At 41.5% G+C, this 20184-nt stretch overlaps 1 protein-coding gene across 4 annotated transcripts in view, besides 1 other annotated feature; it reads right to left on the reverse strand.

Annotated features, from left to right (window-relative positions):
- SVIL (supervillin) overlaps positions 1 to 20184 on the reverse strand; it is a 279599-nt gene that overhangs the window by 88745 nt on the left and 170670 nt on the right. For all 4 annotated transcript variants that reach the window (NM_001323599.2, NM_021738.3, NM_001323600.1 and 1 more), the window contains 4 exons: positions 17119 to 17210; positions 8969 to 9026; positions 8701 to 8852; positions 4515 to 5181 (listed from right to left, as the gene is read on the reverse strand). In NM_001323599.2, the coding sequence (NP_001310528.1) occupies positions 4515 to 5181; positions 8701 to 8852; positions 8969 to 8976 (827 nt within the window). In that variant the 5' untranslated portion in view covers positions 8977 to 9026; positions 17119 to 17210. The remainder of the gene's footprint in view (positions 1 to 4514; positions 5182 to 8700; positions 8853 to 8968; positions 9027 to 17118; positions 17211 to 20184) is intronic.
- Positions 16070 to 17269: an enhancer, noted in NCBI's record as "BRD4-independent group 4 enhancer chr10:29851081-29852280 (GRCh37/hg19 assembly coordinates)". NCBI's record gives its function as "activates an origin of replication core promoter dependent on BRD2, P300/CBP, MED14 and CDK7 cofactors, and independent of BRD4, by STARR-seq in HCT116 cells {active_cell/tissue: HCT116}" and the evidence as "EXISTENCE:reporter gene assay evidence [ECO:0000049][PMID:35650434]".

Here is a 20184-nt window from a genome sequence, read left to right on the forward strand (position 1 = left end):
AACAAATTCAACAAGAGCTTTGGATTCGGAATTTCTAGTAGTAGAAGCTCAAGCTCAGGTGTTTAAAAATCTGAATAATCCATAGGACCTAAATCCCTTTTAATTTTATTCTAAAACTCACAGTGGTGGAATTAATAAAGAATGGTTCATAATCAGTAACACTACCTCTCCAGCAAATAATACCATTTCTGAAATTTCAAGTTTACAGGTTTGTAACAGTTAGAGAGGTGGGGCTGGAAGTATCTTATTGTTTTCTACTTCACCTATTTCGTTACTATGTGTATTCTTAGTTTTCTTCAGAGCAATGTGTCCAACTGAATTCCTGGGCATCTAACAGGATTTCTGAGTTAAAAATCCTGTAATATCAACTAATCAATTAACTATTTTTTAAAAAATCTTCTTTATCATATAAACTGAATACTAAAGAATTGTAAAATAAATGTATTATTCAGGTAAATATTGTCCTAAAGACTGTTATTTTGCCTATAATGCTAATGAGTACAGTATAGTGAAGTATAAGAATTAATGATTATTCTGTATATATACACAGATGTGTACAGGTGTTAATGTACGTGAGCACATTCAAAAACTGAGCATTGGAGATGGTGCTCACATTTGAATATTTAGGACACTATTGGTGGTCTTTTGATGGTATATTCATGAGTGTCATCGTATTCGTATTTAAATAATAAGACAGCCTCTTGCTAGCGAGCACAGAACAAAATGATTAAATGGGAATGAGTTGATTCAGAGATTTAATAGCCAAAAATTTGGCAGAGCTAGATGACAAGAGAGTGCAGCAGTGAGAAAAATATTCCATTTTAGTGACAGAAAAAAATCCACAAAAAACCACAGCATTAAACATTATTCATGGGTACTATTTGTCTTCACTTGTTGATTTTAAAGTTTTCGGTTACATGTTTCCATATCAGATGACATTATTATTTTCATATACAGTTATTTAGGTCACCAAGGAGGTTTCTTTTGTTACTGTTTTGGGTTACCACATATTTTTTTTGGTTCATCTTACTTCTCCCTAAATAGGAATCAGAAAATGACTTTCTGAAAGTTGAATTTCCTGGTTCTAGATAAAGACTATCTAAGCAGAATTTTAATCCACTGTAAATCAATCTTTACAACCTGAATCACTGCTGTCATTACAATGTAAATCTTAATTTTTTTAAATGTCAAATTTGTCACACATTTTCCATCCCTCTTTATGTAAATATGTCCCAGGTATTTTCCTAATAAATATATAAACTACTTTGGGTTTCTTTGCCTGTGAATCATAGAATTGTATACCTTTAATGGCTTAGAAAATAAGGCATGCACCTCTCTAGAAGTCCTTACAATTTCTTAATTCTTTTAAATCTTTTTCATGAAAGTAAAGTGCTGTGAGGCTAAGGCTTGGCTTATGAAAACTTCTAGGTAACATGCATCTTCAAAATAACCTACAAAGAAGTGGCTTTATTTTATTACAGGCCTAAATATGTCAACAATGCTTTTTTCTAGGTCTTAAGACAAGTTATATACATTTTTTTAATATTAAGATTTTAACTCATACGAAATATGAAGTATCCTGTCTTTACTTGGGATGCTCAACAAAGTCTTAATTACTATTATAACTGATTTAAAATCTATTTGAGAATCTATTATATGTGATCTAGGTGACTAACTCAGATACCGTGATAACGACTTCAACAGCTCTCATCATGTGGCAATCTGAAATTAGATTCCCCATTTCTTTTAAACCAGTGTAATTATATATCTCTGATATTCTTTTTAAATTGGAGTCTGTTAGGTTCTTCATCCTACTTGCAAAACACAGGAAGAACTTCCTTTGGTAGAAAGTAACTAAACCAAGAACGTGGTTTCTACGATGAAATGCAAATTCCTCAAACAAAAGACCTTCATTTCAAAATATGAGACAGTAACTCACAGTCCCTACATTTCCAGTTAAAACTAAAGGCTGAAAAAAGGTGCTCAAAATGGATCCTTGGGATCTACCTTTTAATTCTGTTGGAAGCTGATCTCTCTAAGTATTTCAGTCTGGATGCTCGAGTATGTGGTGACAGGTCTTTGGGTTAATACATTTCAGTACCACAAGGGTCTGCTTCATATGTGTTACTGCCACTTAGAGATGACCAGGTGTGCACCCCTGTGTCCCAGTGGGAAAAAAATAGGGGTGTTTCCCACATATGAATCTTTTTTTTCAGAATGAATCTCCCTGACCTTAGGTTCTGATCCCTTCTCAATTCACCTGGGAAACTATTGCTTGTTTGAACTGAGAAATACACTTAAGATCCACCTAGACAATTACCCCAAAGCTTTAAGCAGGACAGTTAAGTAAATTGCACTTTTAATATAGCCATCACACTTTTAAAATTTAAATTTGGAAGTAAACATATATTCTCTTCTGTGATCTGACTTTCTGATTTCATACCTTTTTCAATTTCTCCAAATGGCAGCTGCTCTTATCTTGAGTGGATCCTTTTACACAGTGGTTTTCTAATGGCTGATCTTCATAATGCGGGGTTCTCACACATACCTGTGTCCTAGTGTGTGATATACTTACAGAACTAGGCATTCTAGTTCTATTTCGTGTATATTGCAGTCATACTTCTGTGCTCTGCACTGAGATGCTTCCACTGGTTAGTGGTGCTTCTTCTGCTCTGTGATTCTAATCACAGCAACAAAAGCAGTCACCAACAATCATCAGTCTCTGATATGATTACAGAAAAGCGGCGAAAAGATAAACTATGAAAGGGGTGTGAGAAACCCAGTAAGAGGGTCCTGAAGTGAGGAGTCCATGAAAGTGTCCCCATGACACCTGTTCAGTTTGTTTTTAAAACGAACATAAGACATAGGCATGGGCAAGGACTTCATGTCTAAAACACCAAAAGCAATGGCAACAAAAGCCAAAATTGACAAATGGGATCTAATTAAACTAAAGAGCTTCTGCACAGCAAAAGAAACTACCATCAGAGTGAACAGGCAACCCACAAAATGGGAGAAAATTTTCACAACCTACTCATCTGACAAAGGGCTAATATCCAGAATCTACAATGAACTCAAACAAATTTACAAAAAAAAAAACAAACAAACAACCCCATCAAAAAGTGGGTGAAGGACATGAACAGACACTTCTCAAAAGAAGACATTTATGCAGCCAAAAAACACATGAAAAAATGCTCACCATCACTGGCCATCAGAGAAATGCAAATCAAAACCACAATGAGATACCATCTCACACCAGTTAGAATGGCAGTCATTAAAAAGTCAGGAAACAACAGGTGCTGGAGAGGATGTGGAGAAATAGGAACACTTTTACACTGTTGGTGGGACTGTAAACTAGTTCAACCATTGTGGAAGTCAGTGTGGCGAAACCTCAGGGATCTAGAACTAGAAATACCATTTGACCCAGCCATCCCATTACTGGGTATATACCCAAAGGACTATAAATCATTCTGCTATAAAGACACATGCACACGTATGTTTATTGTGGCACTATTCACAATAGCAAAGACTTGGAACCAACCCAAATGTCCAACAATGATAGACTGGATTAAGAAAATGTGGCACATATACACCATGGAATACTATGCAGCCATAAAAAAGGATGAGTTCATGTCCTTTGCAGGGACATGGATGAAGCTGGAAACCATCATTCTCAGTAAACTATCGCAAAAACAAAAAACCAAACACCGCATATTCTCACTCATAGGTGGGAATTGAACAATGAGAACACATGGACACAGGAAGGGGAACATCACACTCTGGGGACTGTTGTGGGGTGGGGGGAGGGGGGAGGGATAGCATTGGGAGATATACCTAATGCTAGATGACGAGTTAGTGGGTGCAACGCACCAGCATGGCACATGTATACATATGTAACTAACCTGCACATTGTGCACATGTACCCTAAAACTTAAAGTATAAAAAAAAAAAAAAAAAAGAATTACGAAGAAAAGAAAAAGAAAAAAAAAAACATAAGAAACGCACAAAGAAAAAGAACATGAGGCTTCCTGCTTTGGTAGAACCTGTTTTGATATGGCTGAAATGTAAGAATCTTAGGCCAGGTACGGTGGCTCATGCCTGTAATCCCAGTGCACTGGGAGGTCAAACAAGAGAATCTCTTGTGGCCAGGAATTTGTGATCAGCCTGGGCAATGGAGGGAGACCCTGTCTCTACAAAAAAAAAAATGTAAAAATTAGCCGGGCGTGGTGGCATGTGCCTGTGGTTCCAGCTACTTATGAGGCTGAGGCAGGAGGATTGCTTGAGCCCAGGAGTTCCAGGCTGCAGTGAGCTATGATAGTGCCACTGCCCTCCAGCCTGGGCAACAGAGTGGGACCCTGTCTTCAGAAAAAAAAAAAAAAGAATCATATACTATGATATTTCTCCAATAAGCCTTGACTTCCACATAATGCTTAGAATAGCCAAACCCTATCACACAGAGAGGCAAAAAGAAGGTATTGTCCTGCGTTCAGGGTGCTTAGCGTGGACTGGATGCTTACCTGGGTCGGGCCTCAGGGGATAGCTGTGGGTCACCAAAGGAGGGGCTCCGGGAGGCTGCCTGCTGCAGGGAGGAGCTGTGGGCGTGCTTGGGGGACCGTGGCACTTCAGTGAAGGAGGAGTCTCGCCCAGAGAAAGAGAAGGTCGAGGAACTCTCGGCTGCTGGGGACAGGTCATGGGCCTGCCGGGTGGCACTCAGCTCTTGACCTCGTCTTTGGTTTTCTATGTTCAGCAGCACCTCCGGGTCGGAAGAGCCGTCACCCACATGGAGGGCATAGTCCTTGGATTCACCGGCACAGGTCCTGAGCCCCATCGTCTCGGTCCCGGGGTACAGAGAACTAGCATCTCTGCTTGACTCTTCCTGTTTGTCACTTTTTCCTCCCCGCTTCTCGACAGCATCAGGCTCCTTCCTGGACTTGGTATAGCGGGATAAATACTCGGAGTCGGCCTCGGGATCCAGAGTCAGCCCATACTTCTCTGCCAGCTGTCGCCTTCTTTCTGCTTTGTACCTTGCAATTCTTTCGGCTTTGGACTCCAGACTGTGGGTGTCCATGGTACCCGAACCATAGGGTGAGTCACCGTGGACACCGGAGGTTTCTGTGCAGTATTTGGATCGAGTTTGCTTTTCTAGAGAAGAATCAGAAGTTTCCTCCTCTTCATTTGATCGGCCTACAAGAAGGTCACATGGATGAGAGGTGCAGATTTCAAGTAAAGACATGTATTTACACACAGAATGACACTCTACTGCACACAGCACACACCTGGGTGCCCATGCTGTGAAGGACCAGTTTCTCACCGAGGTGTGTTTGCCTAAACTGATTATTTACCTGGGCTGTTGAAGAAGTCTGAGATCGGCAGTGAAATCTACAAAGGCTGTGAATGGTGCACGTTCTGCAAGCCCCGTAAGGCGTGGCTTTAACTTCAGCTCAGCCCCTTCACTCCCCAGAGCGCCTCAGTCTTTGTTCAGTGCTTATTTCCCCTTACTGATTTACCCTTTTTTGTGGAGTTCAGTATTTCACGTGGGAGGCCATAGGATGAGTTGGGTCCTCTGGGAAAGACAGCAGACAAGTGAGCTGCCGTCATTGGACAAGTGATGGATGCTGGTTTCCGGGGATCTGAGAGTAACCATAACGATATGGCCCATATCATTATTCACCAGGCTTTTCTTTTTTACAGAAGTGTTTTTTTTCCCCAGTTATAACACACATGCCTGGTGTAGGAAATATCTAATATGAGCCTGGCATAGTGGCTCACACCTGTAATCCCAGCGCTTTGGGAAACTGAGGTGGGAGGGTGGCTGGAGGCCAGGAGTTCGAGACCAGCCTGGGTAACATAGTGAGACCCTGCCTCTACAAAAATTATTTTAAAAATTAGCTGGGCATGATGGCACATGTCCATGGTGCCAGCTACTCAGGAGGCTGAGGTGGGCAGATAGCTTCAGCCCAGGAGTTCAAGGCTGCAGTAAGCTATGATCGATCATGCCACTGAACTCTAACCTGAGCAAGAGAGCAAGACCTTGTCTCAAAAAACAAAACAAAAAAAAAAACCTATCAATCATCACCCTACAAACTAATAACATTTTTATATATTCCTTCTAGTTAATATAATTTTTTCTTTATAAAATAGTTAGTTATTAATGTTCTATAAAAATATTTTCCGTATTCTATAAAAATGTTTTCCCAGCTGGCTCACAACTGTAATCCTAGCACTTTGGGAGGCTGAGGCAGGCGGATCACGAAGCAGGCAGATCACGAGGTCAGGAGTTCGAGACCAGCCTGACCAACACGGTGTAACCCCGTCTCTACTAAAAATGCAAAAATTAGCCAGGCATGGTGGTGCGTGCTTGTAATTCCAGCTACTCAGGAGGCTGAGGCAGGAGAATCACTTGAACCCGGGAGGCAGAGGTTGCAGTGAGCCGAGATCATGCCACTGCCCTCCAGCCTGGGCAACAAAGTGAGACTCTGTCTCAAAAAAAAAAAAAAAAAAAATTCCCATATTTGGAAATCTATTTTGAAGATATCATTTAAGGGTCCTAACAGTCTATCTAACAGGCATTCCATTATTACCTTAACCCTTCCCATACGGCCTTTTTCATTCCACCTGAATTAAATATTCATGTATCTTTTCCATTATTTTCTTTAAACTAAACAGGTGAGTAACTGGAACTAATTTTGGAGTTTGGTATGAATTGAGAAGAGAGATATGCCTCTTCCCACCCTCTGGCAAACCCATTTTTTTCATTATGATTTTATTAAATAATTCCTCCTTTTCTCACTACTATGTGAAGCTTAAACTTCACATATACTACACAGATTACCATTTCGGGTACACTACGGTTTATTTCTGGCTATAAATTTTGGGACTCTGATCTGTGTATTGATATTTCAAGCGTGTAATTACTTTTTAAGAGGTGGAGTCTGGCCGTGTTGTCCAGGCTAATCTTGCACTCCTGAGCTCCAGCTATTCTCCTGCCTCAGCCTCCCAAAGTGCTGGAATTACTGGTGTTGAGCCACCAAGCCCAGCCTTTTTTTTTTTTTTTTCAATAATTGCATGTGATTTTAAAATATCTTAGTTTTCTAGCTTTCTGGCCACAGGAAATTGGAAACTGTAGAGACAAGCAAACTGATAACATCATAAAATGAGATCAACAGCTGTCTCTGAGCTAGAAACTAGAAAACACTGGCTATAAAAAGCAGCAGCATGGCCGGGCACAGTGGCTCACGCTTGTAATCACAGCACTTTGGGTGGCCGAGGCAGGCGGATCACCTGAGGTCAGGAGTTCGAGACCAGCCTCGCCAACATGGTGAAACCTCATCTGTACTAAAAATACAAAAAAATTAGCCCGGTATGGTGGCGGGCACCTGTAATCCCAGCTACTCCAGAGGCTGAGGCAGGAGAATCGCTTAAACCTGGGAGGTGGAGGCTGCAGTGAGCCAAGATCTTGCCATCGCACTCCAGCCTGGGCGACAAGAGCAAAACTCCATCTCCAAAAATAAAATACAATTAAATAAAAAAAATAAAAAGCAGCAGCACAGCTCCTCAGAGCCAGGGACTGTGGTGGGAAGAGCAGCCCTGCGTGCATTCTCCTCTCCTAAGGTCAAGTTGAATATTTGATGACAACAATGACTGAGTGATTAGGGAAAAGCTGAGTCACGTGCACTCAACATACTGTTTAATATGAAATAAATATGCAACGTATTTAAAATTATCTACATTAAGATAACTTAGATAGAAAGTTTTCTTGCATCTCCAGAGTAAGAACCGTACTCATTCAAGGTGCAGCTTTGACTCTAGCGCTCCCTGCTGAGAGCAGCCGCTCCCTGTACTGGGGTAGAACCTTGAGAGGCCCCTATCTTAGAGCACAGATCCTGTGCTGGGCCCTGAGGGTGAAGAAAGACACAGCTTCTGCCTTTGAGGGCCCCAGTCTAGGGAGGAAAATGACTGGCCTCCGTTACCCAACAATGTGCGAGGGGAATCATTTCATACTGCTGTGACATGGAAGGCCAGATCCGTGAGGCGGGGCAGAGATGACATACATGTTGTTGCTGTTTTTAGCAAATCTATTTAATAGCCAGGCATGGTGGCACGCGCTCATAGTCCCAGGTACTTGGGAGGCTGAGGTGGGAGGATCACTTGACCTTGGGAGGTTGAGGCTTCAGTGAGCTTATCAGGCCACTGCACTCCAGCCTAGGTGACAGAGTGAGACTCTGTCTCTAAAAAAAATAAAAATAAAAATAAACAAAAAACAAATACATTTAACAAAAAATTAGGCCAAGTCCACTGGCTCACGCTTGTATTTTCAGCACTTTGGAAGGCCAAGGTGGGAGGATCACTAAAAGCCAGAAGTTCGAGACCAGCCTGGGCAACAGTGAGACTCTGTCTCTACAAAAATGTTTAAAAAAAAAAATTAGCCTGGTGTGGTGGTGTAAGCCTGTAGTCCCAGCAACTCAGGAGGCTGGGGCGGGAGAACCCTTGAGCTTGAGCCCAGGAGTTAAGGCTGCAGCGAGCTATGATCATACTCCTGCATTCCAGCCTGTGTGACAGAGTGAAACCTTGTGCTAAAAAAATTATATCCACACAATTCACTTCTGTGGAATATCTCATGTTCTGATACCACTGGGTGGAAAGGGCAACTCGTAACCAGCCAGGCAGCCTGCTGGAAAATGGGCCACCCAGCTCCACGCTCACCGATGTGGGGGCTGGCAGGGTCGCTGGCTCTCATGTATCGAGGGGTGTCTTCCTCCAGCAGGCGGTGAGTCACCAATCCTGTGCAGCTCTGCAAGAGGATGGGCTGAGTGTCATTTTCAATCCCTTCCAGGCGCCTGGCAATTCTTTCTTTTCTGTGAAATACACCACAAGAGGCAGAGTGAGCAACAGCGATCGAATCTAAAGGAAAATGGAATACTGCTTTGCCAAGCTCTCTTCTACTTCCTAACTCCCACTATAAAGATCTTACCTTTTCATTTCTAAGAATTCTTTCTTCTTTGGTTCAAAGATTTGTCTTAATTCTGCAACTGGAAGAAAACCAAAAAAGAACAAAATATAGTATTTAGTAGTCGTGCGCTCATTTTATTCACTCATGCAACGTGTTTATTGAACTGCAAATTTCAGTTCTTGATTCCTATGTCACAGTGACATGCAAAACTGACCAAGTTCCTGCTTTCTTGGAAACTGTTTCCTAGTAGGGGAGGCAGATGCCAAATGAATAAGAGTGTGCAGACACACACACACACACACACACACACACACATGGACACACCCTAGGACGCATCATCCTCTTCTAAGGTCAAGCTGAATATTTGATGCCCATAAAAATGACAGAGTTATCAAGGCAAAGCTAAGACATGCTCACTCAACATACTGTTTAATATGAAATATATATGTAATATATTTAAAATCACATACATTAAAATAATTTAAATAGAATGTTTTGTTGTATATATATTGTAACACCTAGCTATGTGACTCACGTATATGTCACATATATAGGTTGGCTAAGAAGTAAAATCCTACAGGGTAAGGCAGAAGGTTTTATTTCATCTAGGGGAATCAAGGGAGACCTGACGAGCAAGCTTTCTCTAGGAAAGTATTTTAGGCAGAAATCTCAGCAACTGTTTCTAACTTTTGTTTGATTTAACAAAGTATTCTAAGCTTCTATTATGGAAATCATTTACAGAAGTATAGACTAGGAGTGTGAACCCCACAGGGCCATCGGCAAGCTACAAGCATGAACTCACAGCCGCTTCTCCTCCACCCTGTCACGGAATTTGTCAATGGCTGTAACTATCTGATTGTGTTTCCAGCAGTGCCTAAAGTGGCCGCTTCAATTAGCTACAGTTTAGATGAACACAGGTCCTCCGCCTCCCTGCACAGGCTTTCACTGGAAGCAAATGTTAACAATGGTTTCCTTGCTATAATTTAGGTGGATGATGGGTAAGGTAATTACCCCAATGTTTCTGGCAGCACTGGAGAAACAGAACAAACGCTGTGCTGAGGTTGGGAGATTCTCACATGATACTGACTACAAGGATATTACTGAGATGCCAGACAACTGTTTCTTTGGAGAAATGGCCAAAGTTCATGGAGAATAAAGGTCTCTCTTTTTGCCTCCTCCTCAATAGCTTAAATTCATAAGGGCGCATCTGAGTGACTCCTATGAAGGACTCAGAATGGGGTGGGAGAAAGAGAGAGGGGTGGCTGGACAGCCTGGGGCCAGGGCCAATGAAAAGTTTTGAAAGGCTGAGTCACAGGAGAAACTCAAAGGAATTTGATGTTTGACTGCTTCAATTTCCATTTTCTTTTCTCTAAGTGGTAATTTTTAGTAATGAGTCAAAACTACACACACACACATGCACGCATACACACACACAAAGTTTTATATTGCCCTTTGTGTTCAGGGATAGAAGCCTTGTTTTTCTTCATTTATTTTTAAGTGATAGCCACCTTAAAACTTCAGTTGAATTGGCTTTTGTTGAGATAGCCGGCTTCAAAAAAACAAAACCTCTCTCCCTCTGACTTCAAAAAGGTCTCCCAGTTGGCCTCCCCAGGAATCAGAGTAGCTGGAGGCAGAGAAGTCCTTGTTCTAATCATGTTCCTATTTAGAAGACAGGGGTATAATGAGAATGGTGCACCCCGCCATGCGGCCTTGGGAGAGGAGGCTTGGTCAATAACAACAGCTTCCCTGTCAACAAATTAGCCCTAGTGGGATTATGGTGATACAACTTTAATGGCTGGTAGGACATATTTTGAAAATATTTTCAAGGATGACAAAAACCAAAGGGTTTTAATTATTTAAACCCCAAAGAGGAAAGTGGAGCCCTATTTTTCAAAAGACCACTCAAGAAGCTATCAAAACCAAATTCCAAGGGTGCCTAAAAGGTACGACTTGAACCCATGCCTCAAACCCTAACTGAGAAATAGAAAATATTAATAGGGTCCTGAGTAGCATAATCACATCCCCTCCCCTCCCCTGCCTTCCCCTTCCCTTTCTTTTCTTTTCTCCCCCCTCCCTTTCTTTTTGAGACAGGGTCTCATTCTGTCACCCAGGCTGGAGTGTAGAGGCACGATCTCGACTCACTGCAGCCTCAACTTCCCAGACTCAAGTGATCCTCCCAACTCAGCCTCGCGAGTAGGTGAGATTACAGGCATGTGCCACCACGCCTGGCTAGCTTTTGGTTGTCTTTTGTGGAGACGGGGTTTCGCTATGTTATCCAGGATGGTCTTGAACTCCTAGGCTCAAGGGATCTGCTTGCCTTGGCCTCCCAAAGTGCTGGGATTGCAGGTGTGAGCCACCGCGCCTGGCCTAACATGTCCCTTTTCTTGCCCCACATTATTTCAACTGGATAAGTATCAAAACCGTTAATAAACCGAGTATCATGTAACTTCCACTGGAAAAAGTTAAGATAGACTTTTCTTGGTTCTAATTAGAGACTGCTGAAAATCACTTTCATTTCATCCAAATTTTAATTAATTTTAAAATTTTTCTATAGAAATGCAACTAAAGGCATTTTAAAAAAAGATTACAACAGTGCATGGAAAAGCAAAGCAACATGTTGCTTCCTGCTATTTTCTATTTCCCATATTCCAGAAAGAAAGATCTAGTTGGGAGACTGTGCAAGCCTCCTGTCCACAGGAAAGGTAGACTTTCCTACTGCCCTTCCAGTGAACACTGCCCTCTGATAGCCATCCACTTCTGGGCATAAAACGAGAAATTCTCAGGATAGGATCTAGCAGACACACAGATGGACCTCATCAGGGTCATGGGCTCAGGAGGCTGGCTCTGGAGAGCTCCCAGATCACTATGGGGGCGCTAATGGCTTCTGAATGGGAAGTGGCTTTGCTGTGAGCTCTGCCGCAGGATGTTGAATGTCCCAGGTTCTTATAGTGATGCTAAATCACCCCCATTTGCTGTGACACAAAAATATCCTCATATATTTCTAAAGCCCCTTAGGGACTGCCCTAAATTGAGAACCATTGAGAATCACTGATTCCCCAGTACTAGAATTTCAAATACACAGCCTGTGCCTTAGACACCCAGGCCCTAGGTTACACAGTACAGACGCCACTAGCCCAGCACTGCACTCTTTTCAGTCAAGCCTAGATTCAACGCAAAGCTATGCCAAGCCTATTGCTCCTGGAAGCTAGAATCCATCAACATAGTGGGTACTTGAAGGGACACCTTAGGGTCCTCTCTGATCATTTCACTGAGGAATTAAATGAGCTTATAAATTAAATTGTCCTTTAAATGTATTGGTGAGCTTATTAATTCCTAGTGAAAATCTATAGTGAATTTTAAAAGGAAAATAAAAAAGTCTCCCCAGCAAACAAATGATGACCTCTCAGTCTATTCTTTCTAGCAAATATATTTTTAATTACCAAGATATGCCTCATTCCTACAGAAACGGGATTATAAGAAATGATGTACAAGACAAAAAGAAGCAACAGAGAGACATTTTGAGTTTTGCCTCTTTTCCCCATGTCTGTACTAACATGTAATATAATTAATGTGTATTATATTACATATCTGTTTTATATTATTATTAATAATAATAGCCAGGCATGGTGGCTCCTGCCTGTAATCCCAGCACTTTAGGAAGCTGAGGTGTGTGGATCACTTGAGGTCAGGAGTTTGAGACTAGTGTGGCTAACATGATGAAACCCCGTCTCAACTAAAAATACAAAAAATTAGCCAGGCCTGGTAGCATGTATCTGTAATCCCAGCTACACGGGAGGCTGAGGCAGGAGAATTGCTTGAACCCGGGAGACAGAGGTTGCAGTGAGCCAAGGCTGTGCCACTACACTCCAGCCTGAGTGACAGAGTGTGATTCTGCCTCGAAATATATATATATATATAAAAAATATGGTTTATATTATATATTTTATATTATTATATAAACCATGTTTTATATTATTTTATATTATTAATCATATAAAACATGTTTTTGTACTATTAATAGCATAAAGCCAATACTAAAAACATCATGCATGAAAGTCACCATTGCTGTGGAAATCTATGTTGTAACGCTGTTGTTTTATTTATAAAGCCTACCTACAGTTCTACCAAAGTTGCCTTCTGGTTGAAAATCTTGAAGGTTTGTGTTCTTTTAAAACTTCAAAAAAATTTTTTGTAATATCAGACGTACAGAAAATGTAAGAGATATCCTTCACAATATGTTAACATTTTACTATATTGGGTTTATTTTTATTCTTCTTTCTCTTAAGTATATTTACATGTGCATATGTGTCTATGTACATACATACACATACATATTTACATAGTATTTTTTCTGAACCATTTGAGTCAATTGCAGCATGAGGCCCCTTCATCTCTAAATTCTTCAGTGTGTATTTCTTAACAAAAAAGAATAAGAATGCTTTTCAAAATTAGGTTCACCAGCTACAATTCAATTGATTATATGCTGTGTCATAATTATAATTCATATATGGTTCATGTTTAGTAATAGTAGTTATTATGTAATCCAGATATAAATAAACATCGATGGTCTAATTTCCATTTTAATGAGACATTTTCTATTTTGCTTTCAAATACATTAGGACTTCCAAACATATCCACCTGTCCCTTATTTTACCTGCTATGTTGGTCTGTTACTCTTCTTTGAGTAATTCGGAGTGGTACTACTGTGGCAATCTGGACTCTGTGAGTCTATTTCTTTAGTTATTTCTGATGGGAGCTGGAGGTTAGTTTTCAAGTAAGGCGATTTAAGGAAATTTGATAGCAGAGCTATAATACTTCATAAAGTTATTTACAACCACCTAATAGGCTTTGCAATAAGACTATATAACACCAATATTCTAGACAATTTGGTCTGCAGGGTGCTTTTCTTGGGAAACATAGTTTCTTCCATTAGCTCTAAGAAACAGAAGGTTTCTGGTTAAGACATTGTTGAGTTCAGTCCTCCAAACTTGAGTACAGTAGAATCTTCCAAAGAAATATAAGTGGCAGGGGTACTGCCAAGAACACTTCTCTCCTTCACACGACAGCTCAAGAGCCCAGGCCAGATTTGGAATATTCTGATCTTACTTCCCACAGGAGTAAAGCCCTTTAACTTTTACTCTTGGATGGCAGCCACTAATATAAAGACAAGCAGCTCATAAACCAAGCAATTACAAACTAGAGGAATAAGGGGGAGAGGTGACAGCTGAAGGGTGTAGGTTTCTTTTTGCAGTCATGAACATGTTCTAAAACTGGCTGTGCCGATGGAGGCAGAACTCTGAATTGCCAGAACCAACGTAATCGCATACTTTAAATGATAGGATTGCATGGATGTGTGTTGTATCTTAATAAACCTGCTAAAGAAAGTGGAGTAATACGTTTGGTCCACTTCATAATTCCTAAATAAAAAATCTTTTTAAATATTATAAACGTTACATAGGTAAAGATTTTTAATCCCTTGATTACTTGTTTGTGATACACAGAGGAAGTCCCGTAGAGAAAAAGTAACAACCACTTTAATGCCCATTTTCACAGGAAATGAACAGAAAGAGACTTCCATAAACTTCTCACACATAAAACTTGATGTCATTAAAATAAAATTATAACCAAATCTTTTTTTAACATAATATTGCTAAGAGCTGACACACAAAATCATTGATACATGTGTTAAATCAGAGAAACAATGAAATTGCTGGTCTTTCCAAATCTGCCTATTTTTTTCATAAAAAGCAAAGATATGTGAAATAAGACTGTAGAGAATTTAGGTGAAATTCAGGGGACATGGGGCACTGGCACTTTTTTTTTTTTTTAGACAGAGTCTCGCTCTGTCACCCAGGCTGGAGTGCAGTGGCATGATCTTGGCTCACGGCAACCTCCGCCTCCCGGGTTCAAGCGATTCTCCTGCCTCAGCCTCCCGAGTAGCTGGGACTTGCCCAGCTAATTTTTTGTATTTTTAGTAGAGACGGGGTTTCACCACGTTAGCCAGGATGGTCTCGATCTCCTGACCTCGTAATCCACCTGCCTTGGCCTCCCAAAGTGCTGGGATTACAGATGCGAGCCACCATGCCCAGCCGGGGCACTGGCACTTTTAAAGCATGTTTTAAAGATTTAGGGACCATGTTAATTTAGAAACACCAATCTGGTGAACACATAAAATCGTCATCTTTGATTTGTAAAAATTATTTTTTATAATCATTTATGACAAATTTTTTAATACAACTGGCTAATAAGCTTAGGTGTTCTAAAAGTTTATTACAGATGAAGTTACCATTTGTTGAACCTTAAGGAACCCAGCATTTCATCCTGTTTTTGATTTTTCTGCTCATAATATTGTCTGCGGTATTATGCATCAAATAAAGGAACTGGGATAGAGGAAGGGAAAGAGGGATGCTTCTGACTGGTGGAAACAACCTCTGCTATGTAGAACTTTGCCTAATAAACTTTTCTCAGCTATTGCTAATATGGATTTGTTCATTCTTATACTTTGTTTTGATCATCTGCATAGGTATTAAGCACTTTAGTTTGGCTCAGAGGAAATTTTTTTTTTTTTTTGTCTTTCACAGAGAGTCCTAAACATTGGCAGAGCCATTCCATCTGACAGCCGTTCCATGCCCCATCTGCACCCGTCCTAACTGGACACGAGGCCACTGGCTTGCCCTTGAAAACTCTGGGGGAGAGCCGATGCGAGCACAGCGTGGACCACCTCATTTCCAGGTACCGTGAACGATTAATTTTCTTTTTGATATGAAATCTCATCTGCCTCCTTGTAATTCTACACGTTATTCTTACTTTTGGCCTCTGGAGCAACATAGAATAAACCTGTATTCCGGCTGACAGCGTTGTCAGTTCTTGAAAATTGCCACATGTCTCTGTCTGGGTTTCCTTCACCAGGCCAAATCCCCTGAGTCTTTCAGACATTCACCCTCATCAGACTGTGTCTCGGCCTATCACCCGTTCAGTTCCTCAGGATATATTCCAATTCGTCAGTGGGACTTTTTTTTACTGGATTTACTTTCTATTAAAAGAATACGTTTTTTGTTCTAATTTCTTTGGGGCATGATTTTTGCTTTTTCTTTCAGAGTAGAAAAAATCTGCCCTTCCATCAAATCTGTTTCTTCCACTGGAAGGTTTCCACAGCTCAGTCAGGATGAAGACATTTTGTGAGCTGAGACTAATGATCATTCCTTGTGCTAGTGTTACAGTTACAAAGACCAATCAATGTTTACATCATTTCACTGGTAACACTAGGGGGAATTGGTTTATAGTTGGTGCAGACATTTTACCGCATGTGCGCCTTGACCAGTGGAAATAGTAATTCACCAAACACGTGTGAGTGCCTCCTTGGGGAAGAAGAAAGATGCTCATGATAAAGTCTGCACGGGCTGTTCGCCGCTCAGCAGGAAGCTACAAGATGTTAAATGTAAAAGCCCTGGCTGGGCGCGGTGGCTCACGCCTGTAATCGCAGCACTTTGCAAGGCGGAGGCGGGCGGATCACCTAAGATCGGGAGTCGAAACCAGCCTGGCCAACATAGCGAAACCCTGTCTCTACTAAAAATACAAAAAATTAGCCGGGCGTGGTGGTGGGCGCCTGTAGTCCCAGCTATTCGGGAGGCTGAGGAAGGAGAATCACTTGAACCTGGGAGGCGGAAGTTGCGGTGAGCCGACATTGTGCCATTGCACTCCAGCCTGGGCGACAGAGCGAGACTCCGTCTCAAAAAAAAGAAAAAAAAAAAAAAAAAAAAAAAAAAAGAGCCGTAAGGCCTGGGGCAGCCTCCAGAGGCAGCAGGAGTGGGTGGACAGAGAAGAAATGGGGGTATGGTCAGAACTCACTGCCCTTGGAGAAGGTTAAACGGAGAAAGAGATGAGGGCAGGGCGATTTTATGTTCCCTGTCTCACCCGCCACACCCAGCCTCTGGCGAAAACCTGAGGATGCCTAAAATTAAAGGGCAAGAAGGAGTAGAAAGGTGAGGATTAAAAATGCATGGATGCATGGAGAGAGGGGGAAGGGAATTGAAGCTAATTCTGGGAGGAGGCAGGAAGGGCCGAAAGGAGACTGTAAGCTGGAGGTTAGGGAGAGAGTTCTGCTCAAGGAAATTCGGACAACACAATACGCATCTACCCAGACATGGTTGGTCACTTAGGAACAGCCTTACCTTTAGGAAGTGCAACTAAAAGCTGAGCATCGATTCCTCTTTCGTGGTTAGCGAGCTGTTCTTTATCTTCGAGTGAGAACTCCTTCTGAAAGCTAAAAATTACTCCATTAATAAAGTTAAGTCCATTTAAATAAAGATATATAAGTGAAAAAATGCAGAACACAAAAATTATGATATTGTTACACATCATTCAATATGTACACATAGATTGCAGGTAAAATGTTTTATATTGGGGAGTAAATTGGTAACTTTTTTCATTTATTTATATTTCTGTAAATATTTGATTTTTTGTGCAACTAATTACAGCAGGATTGGCGGGTGGCGTGGTGTGATGTGTGAAAACATTGCTGAACTGGGAGTCGTGAGCTTTAACTCAGACTGACCACCTCTTCTTGACCTAAGAATAGCTGTGCAAGCTTGCATTAATTACTCAACCTCTCTGTGCTACAATTTCTTCTTCAGAAAATCAGTAACTTGTCTAGGTGATCTACACTCTGTCTTCCAGTGTTAAAATTATGTTAAAGTAACAGATGCCTTCAAACAACCAAGGCATCAAAGCATGGTCAAAAGTTTGGAAAGCCTCATGAAGACTCGTGTTGGAATAAAAGAGGAAATGAAAGAGGAGAATAATAAAGGAAGTGAGCCCTTACTGTGGACTTTCCCCCATGTATCTCCTTAATGCATCTTAATACATCTTAATACATCTCCCCCATGTATCTGCTTTCCCCCATGTATCTCCTTATCTCCCCATGTATCCCCCAGGTATCTCCTTAATTATCTCTCCAAGACCCTAAGAGGTACGAACTACTCAGCGAGGTGCTGATAAAGGTACGAATGGCCCTGCCCTCTTGCCCCGCCCACCCAGGCCCTCCACACGGCCCTGCAAAAAGCACCTGCTTTGTAATATTGACTGGTGGTGTCAACACTCCCACCATGGCGGATCTCAGGCTCCCACAGGACTCACTGAACTCAAAGTTGGGAGAGAGGCACACATGTCTGGCCGCAGCACAACACTGGAACTAGTACCATCCTCAGTTTACAGATCCGGAAATTGTTACATGATTTGCCCAAAGACTCGTATTTGACAAGAAGAGGAGATGAGATTCAAATCCATCTCCTAGTTTCATACTAGCCACAGTCACCCCAAGACTGCTGTGTACCCAACTCCATGGTCTTTGATGTGGTCGGAGCGGGCAGGGCAGAGGGTGCTGCTGCCTCGAAGGAAGAAAACAAACCTGTGGAAAGAGGGAACTGCAGTTCCTCAAGGTCAGTGTGACCTCCAGAGGGGGAAAAGATGGGCTTGGAAAAGACTCACTGTGAAGCTGACCTTCCCCCTGTTCGGGTGCATTTCCATAGAGGCCAAGGAAGAGACCGAGGAAGCCACTGCGCATACTGTGTAAGTGGGACAATTGATAACCTCTACCCCCTGTAAAAACTACAGGGAAAGAACTTCCACACAGTCCAAAGCACAGCCACCATCCTGCCCTCCTAGAACCAAGCCCATCTGAAATCTTCGTCTTTCCATATACAATGTAGCAAAGCTTACATTCCATAGGTAAGTGTGTTCACATTATTTAATGAAAAGTCTTGAGAATAATTATGCTTCATAAGCCACACTCCAGATTGGCTGGAAGAGCCTAGGACACCTGCCTAGTCAGAAACTTAGAATTAGCACCGACTTCTAAACACTGAATTGTAAGGCAGTAACTACTCCTTTCAGTGTAGAAACCTAAAAAAATTAAATAATGGCAGAAATGTACCCGACTTAAGGAATGGCGTGTTATTTTAATTGATTATTTAATTGCTAATTTAAACATCTTGACAAAGCTCTATACTTTCTTTAGGAAACTAAAATCTTTTCAGGAAAAAAAATTCTACATTGAAGTGAAATAATGCAATCCTTGAAATATTCAGCTTTTCAGGCCACTTACCTTGCGGTACAAATGCTATATCTTATTTTCAAAAATAAACATCTGTATGCCGTTATTTTCCTCTTTCTTTCTGTTTCTCAGAAAGCTCAATAGAGCCACTAATAAAAAGCAAGAAACTGTCCCTGAGTTAAATACTCCGCTGAATTTACAGAGTGAGCTTTACGAGTCATCACCGGACACTCCCTGGCTTCACAGGCACTTATTTTCTCGAAACACGCTACAAATAGTGCCAGCACCCATGTGAAGTGCAGCCTTTTGATGGCAGGTCAGAAACCAAAGAAAACCAAAGGTCTAAGAGGAAAGTCTCTGATGCTTCTTAACGTGGTTCACTTGACATGCTGTTTCCTCCCCCTGAGCTCTCTCCTCTCCAGCCTCCTGCCATCGTGTGGCTTCATTTCGCTTCTGGTCTGGGCCTCAGTTGACTGGTCATGTCCTCAGGGCAAAGCACCTAAACCCACTGCCTATTGTGACCATCACCCAAAGTATATTACACACCTCGTTAACCCCAGCACTTTGTGGGGGCTGAGGCAGGAGGATTGTTTGAACCCAGGAGTTTGAGACCAGCTTGGGCAACATAGCAAGATCCCATCTCTAAAAAAAAAAATAGGAAAATTAGCCAGGCACAGTGGCACAAGCCTGTAGTCCCAGCCACTCAGGAGGCTGAGGTGGCAGGATCCATTGAGCCTAGGAGTTTGAGGTTGCAGTGAGCTATGATCATTTCACTGTACTCCAGCCTGGGAGACAGAGTGAGACCCTGTCTGTTAAAAAAATTAAATGATTGAATTAAAAATATTTTAAAAAATTAAAATATGTCGAATGAATGAATGATTACTACAAAACACTTCAAATGAATACTACAATTCACGCTGAAGTATTTTTTGTGTACCTTTTATGCAAAGTTGATGTGATGGCCAGAGGTAACATCATTACAAACATTGAGAATAACTATAAGAGCATACGGTCAATAACATCAGTCATAAGCCCCTCCTCCCTCCCTTCCTTATCACCCTCCCTCCTTTCCTTTCTTCCTTTCTTTCCTTCTTTCATCTTTGGACAGGGCATAATTTGGAACACATCATTCTTTAGTACCTTTGCTCACCTTGCATACATGTGTGAAAAACTGGCATAATTGCAC

Source organism: Homo sapiens, chromosome 10 (genome assembly GCF_000001405.40).
Source record: "Homo sapiens chromosome 10, GRCh38.p14 Primary Assembly".
Taxonomy (NCBI): domain Eukaryota; kingdom Metazoa; phylum Chordata; class Mammalia; order Primates; family Hominidae; genus Homo; species Homo sapiens.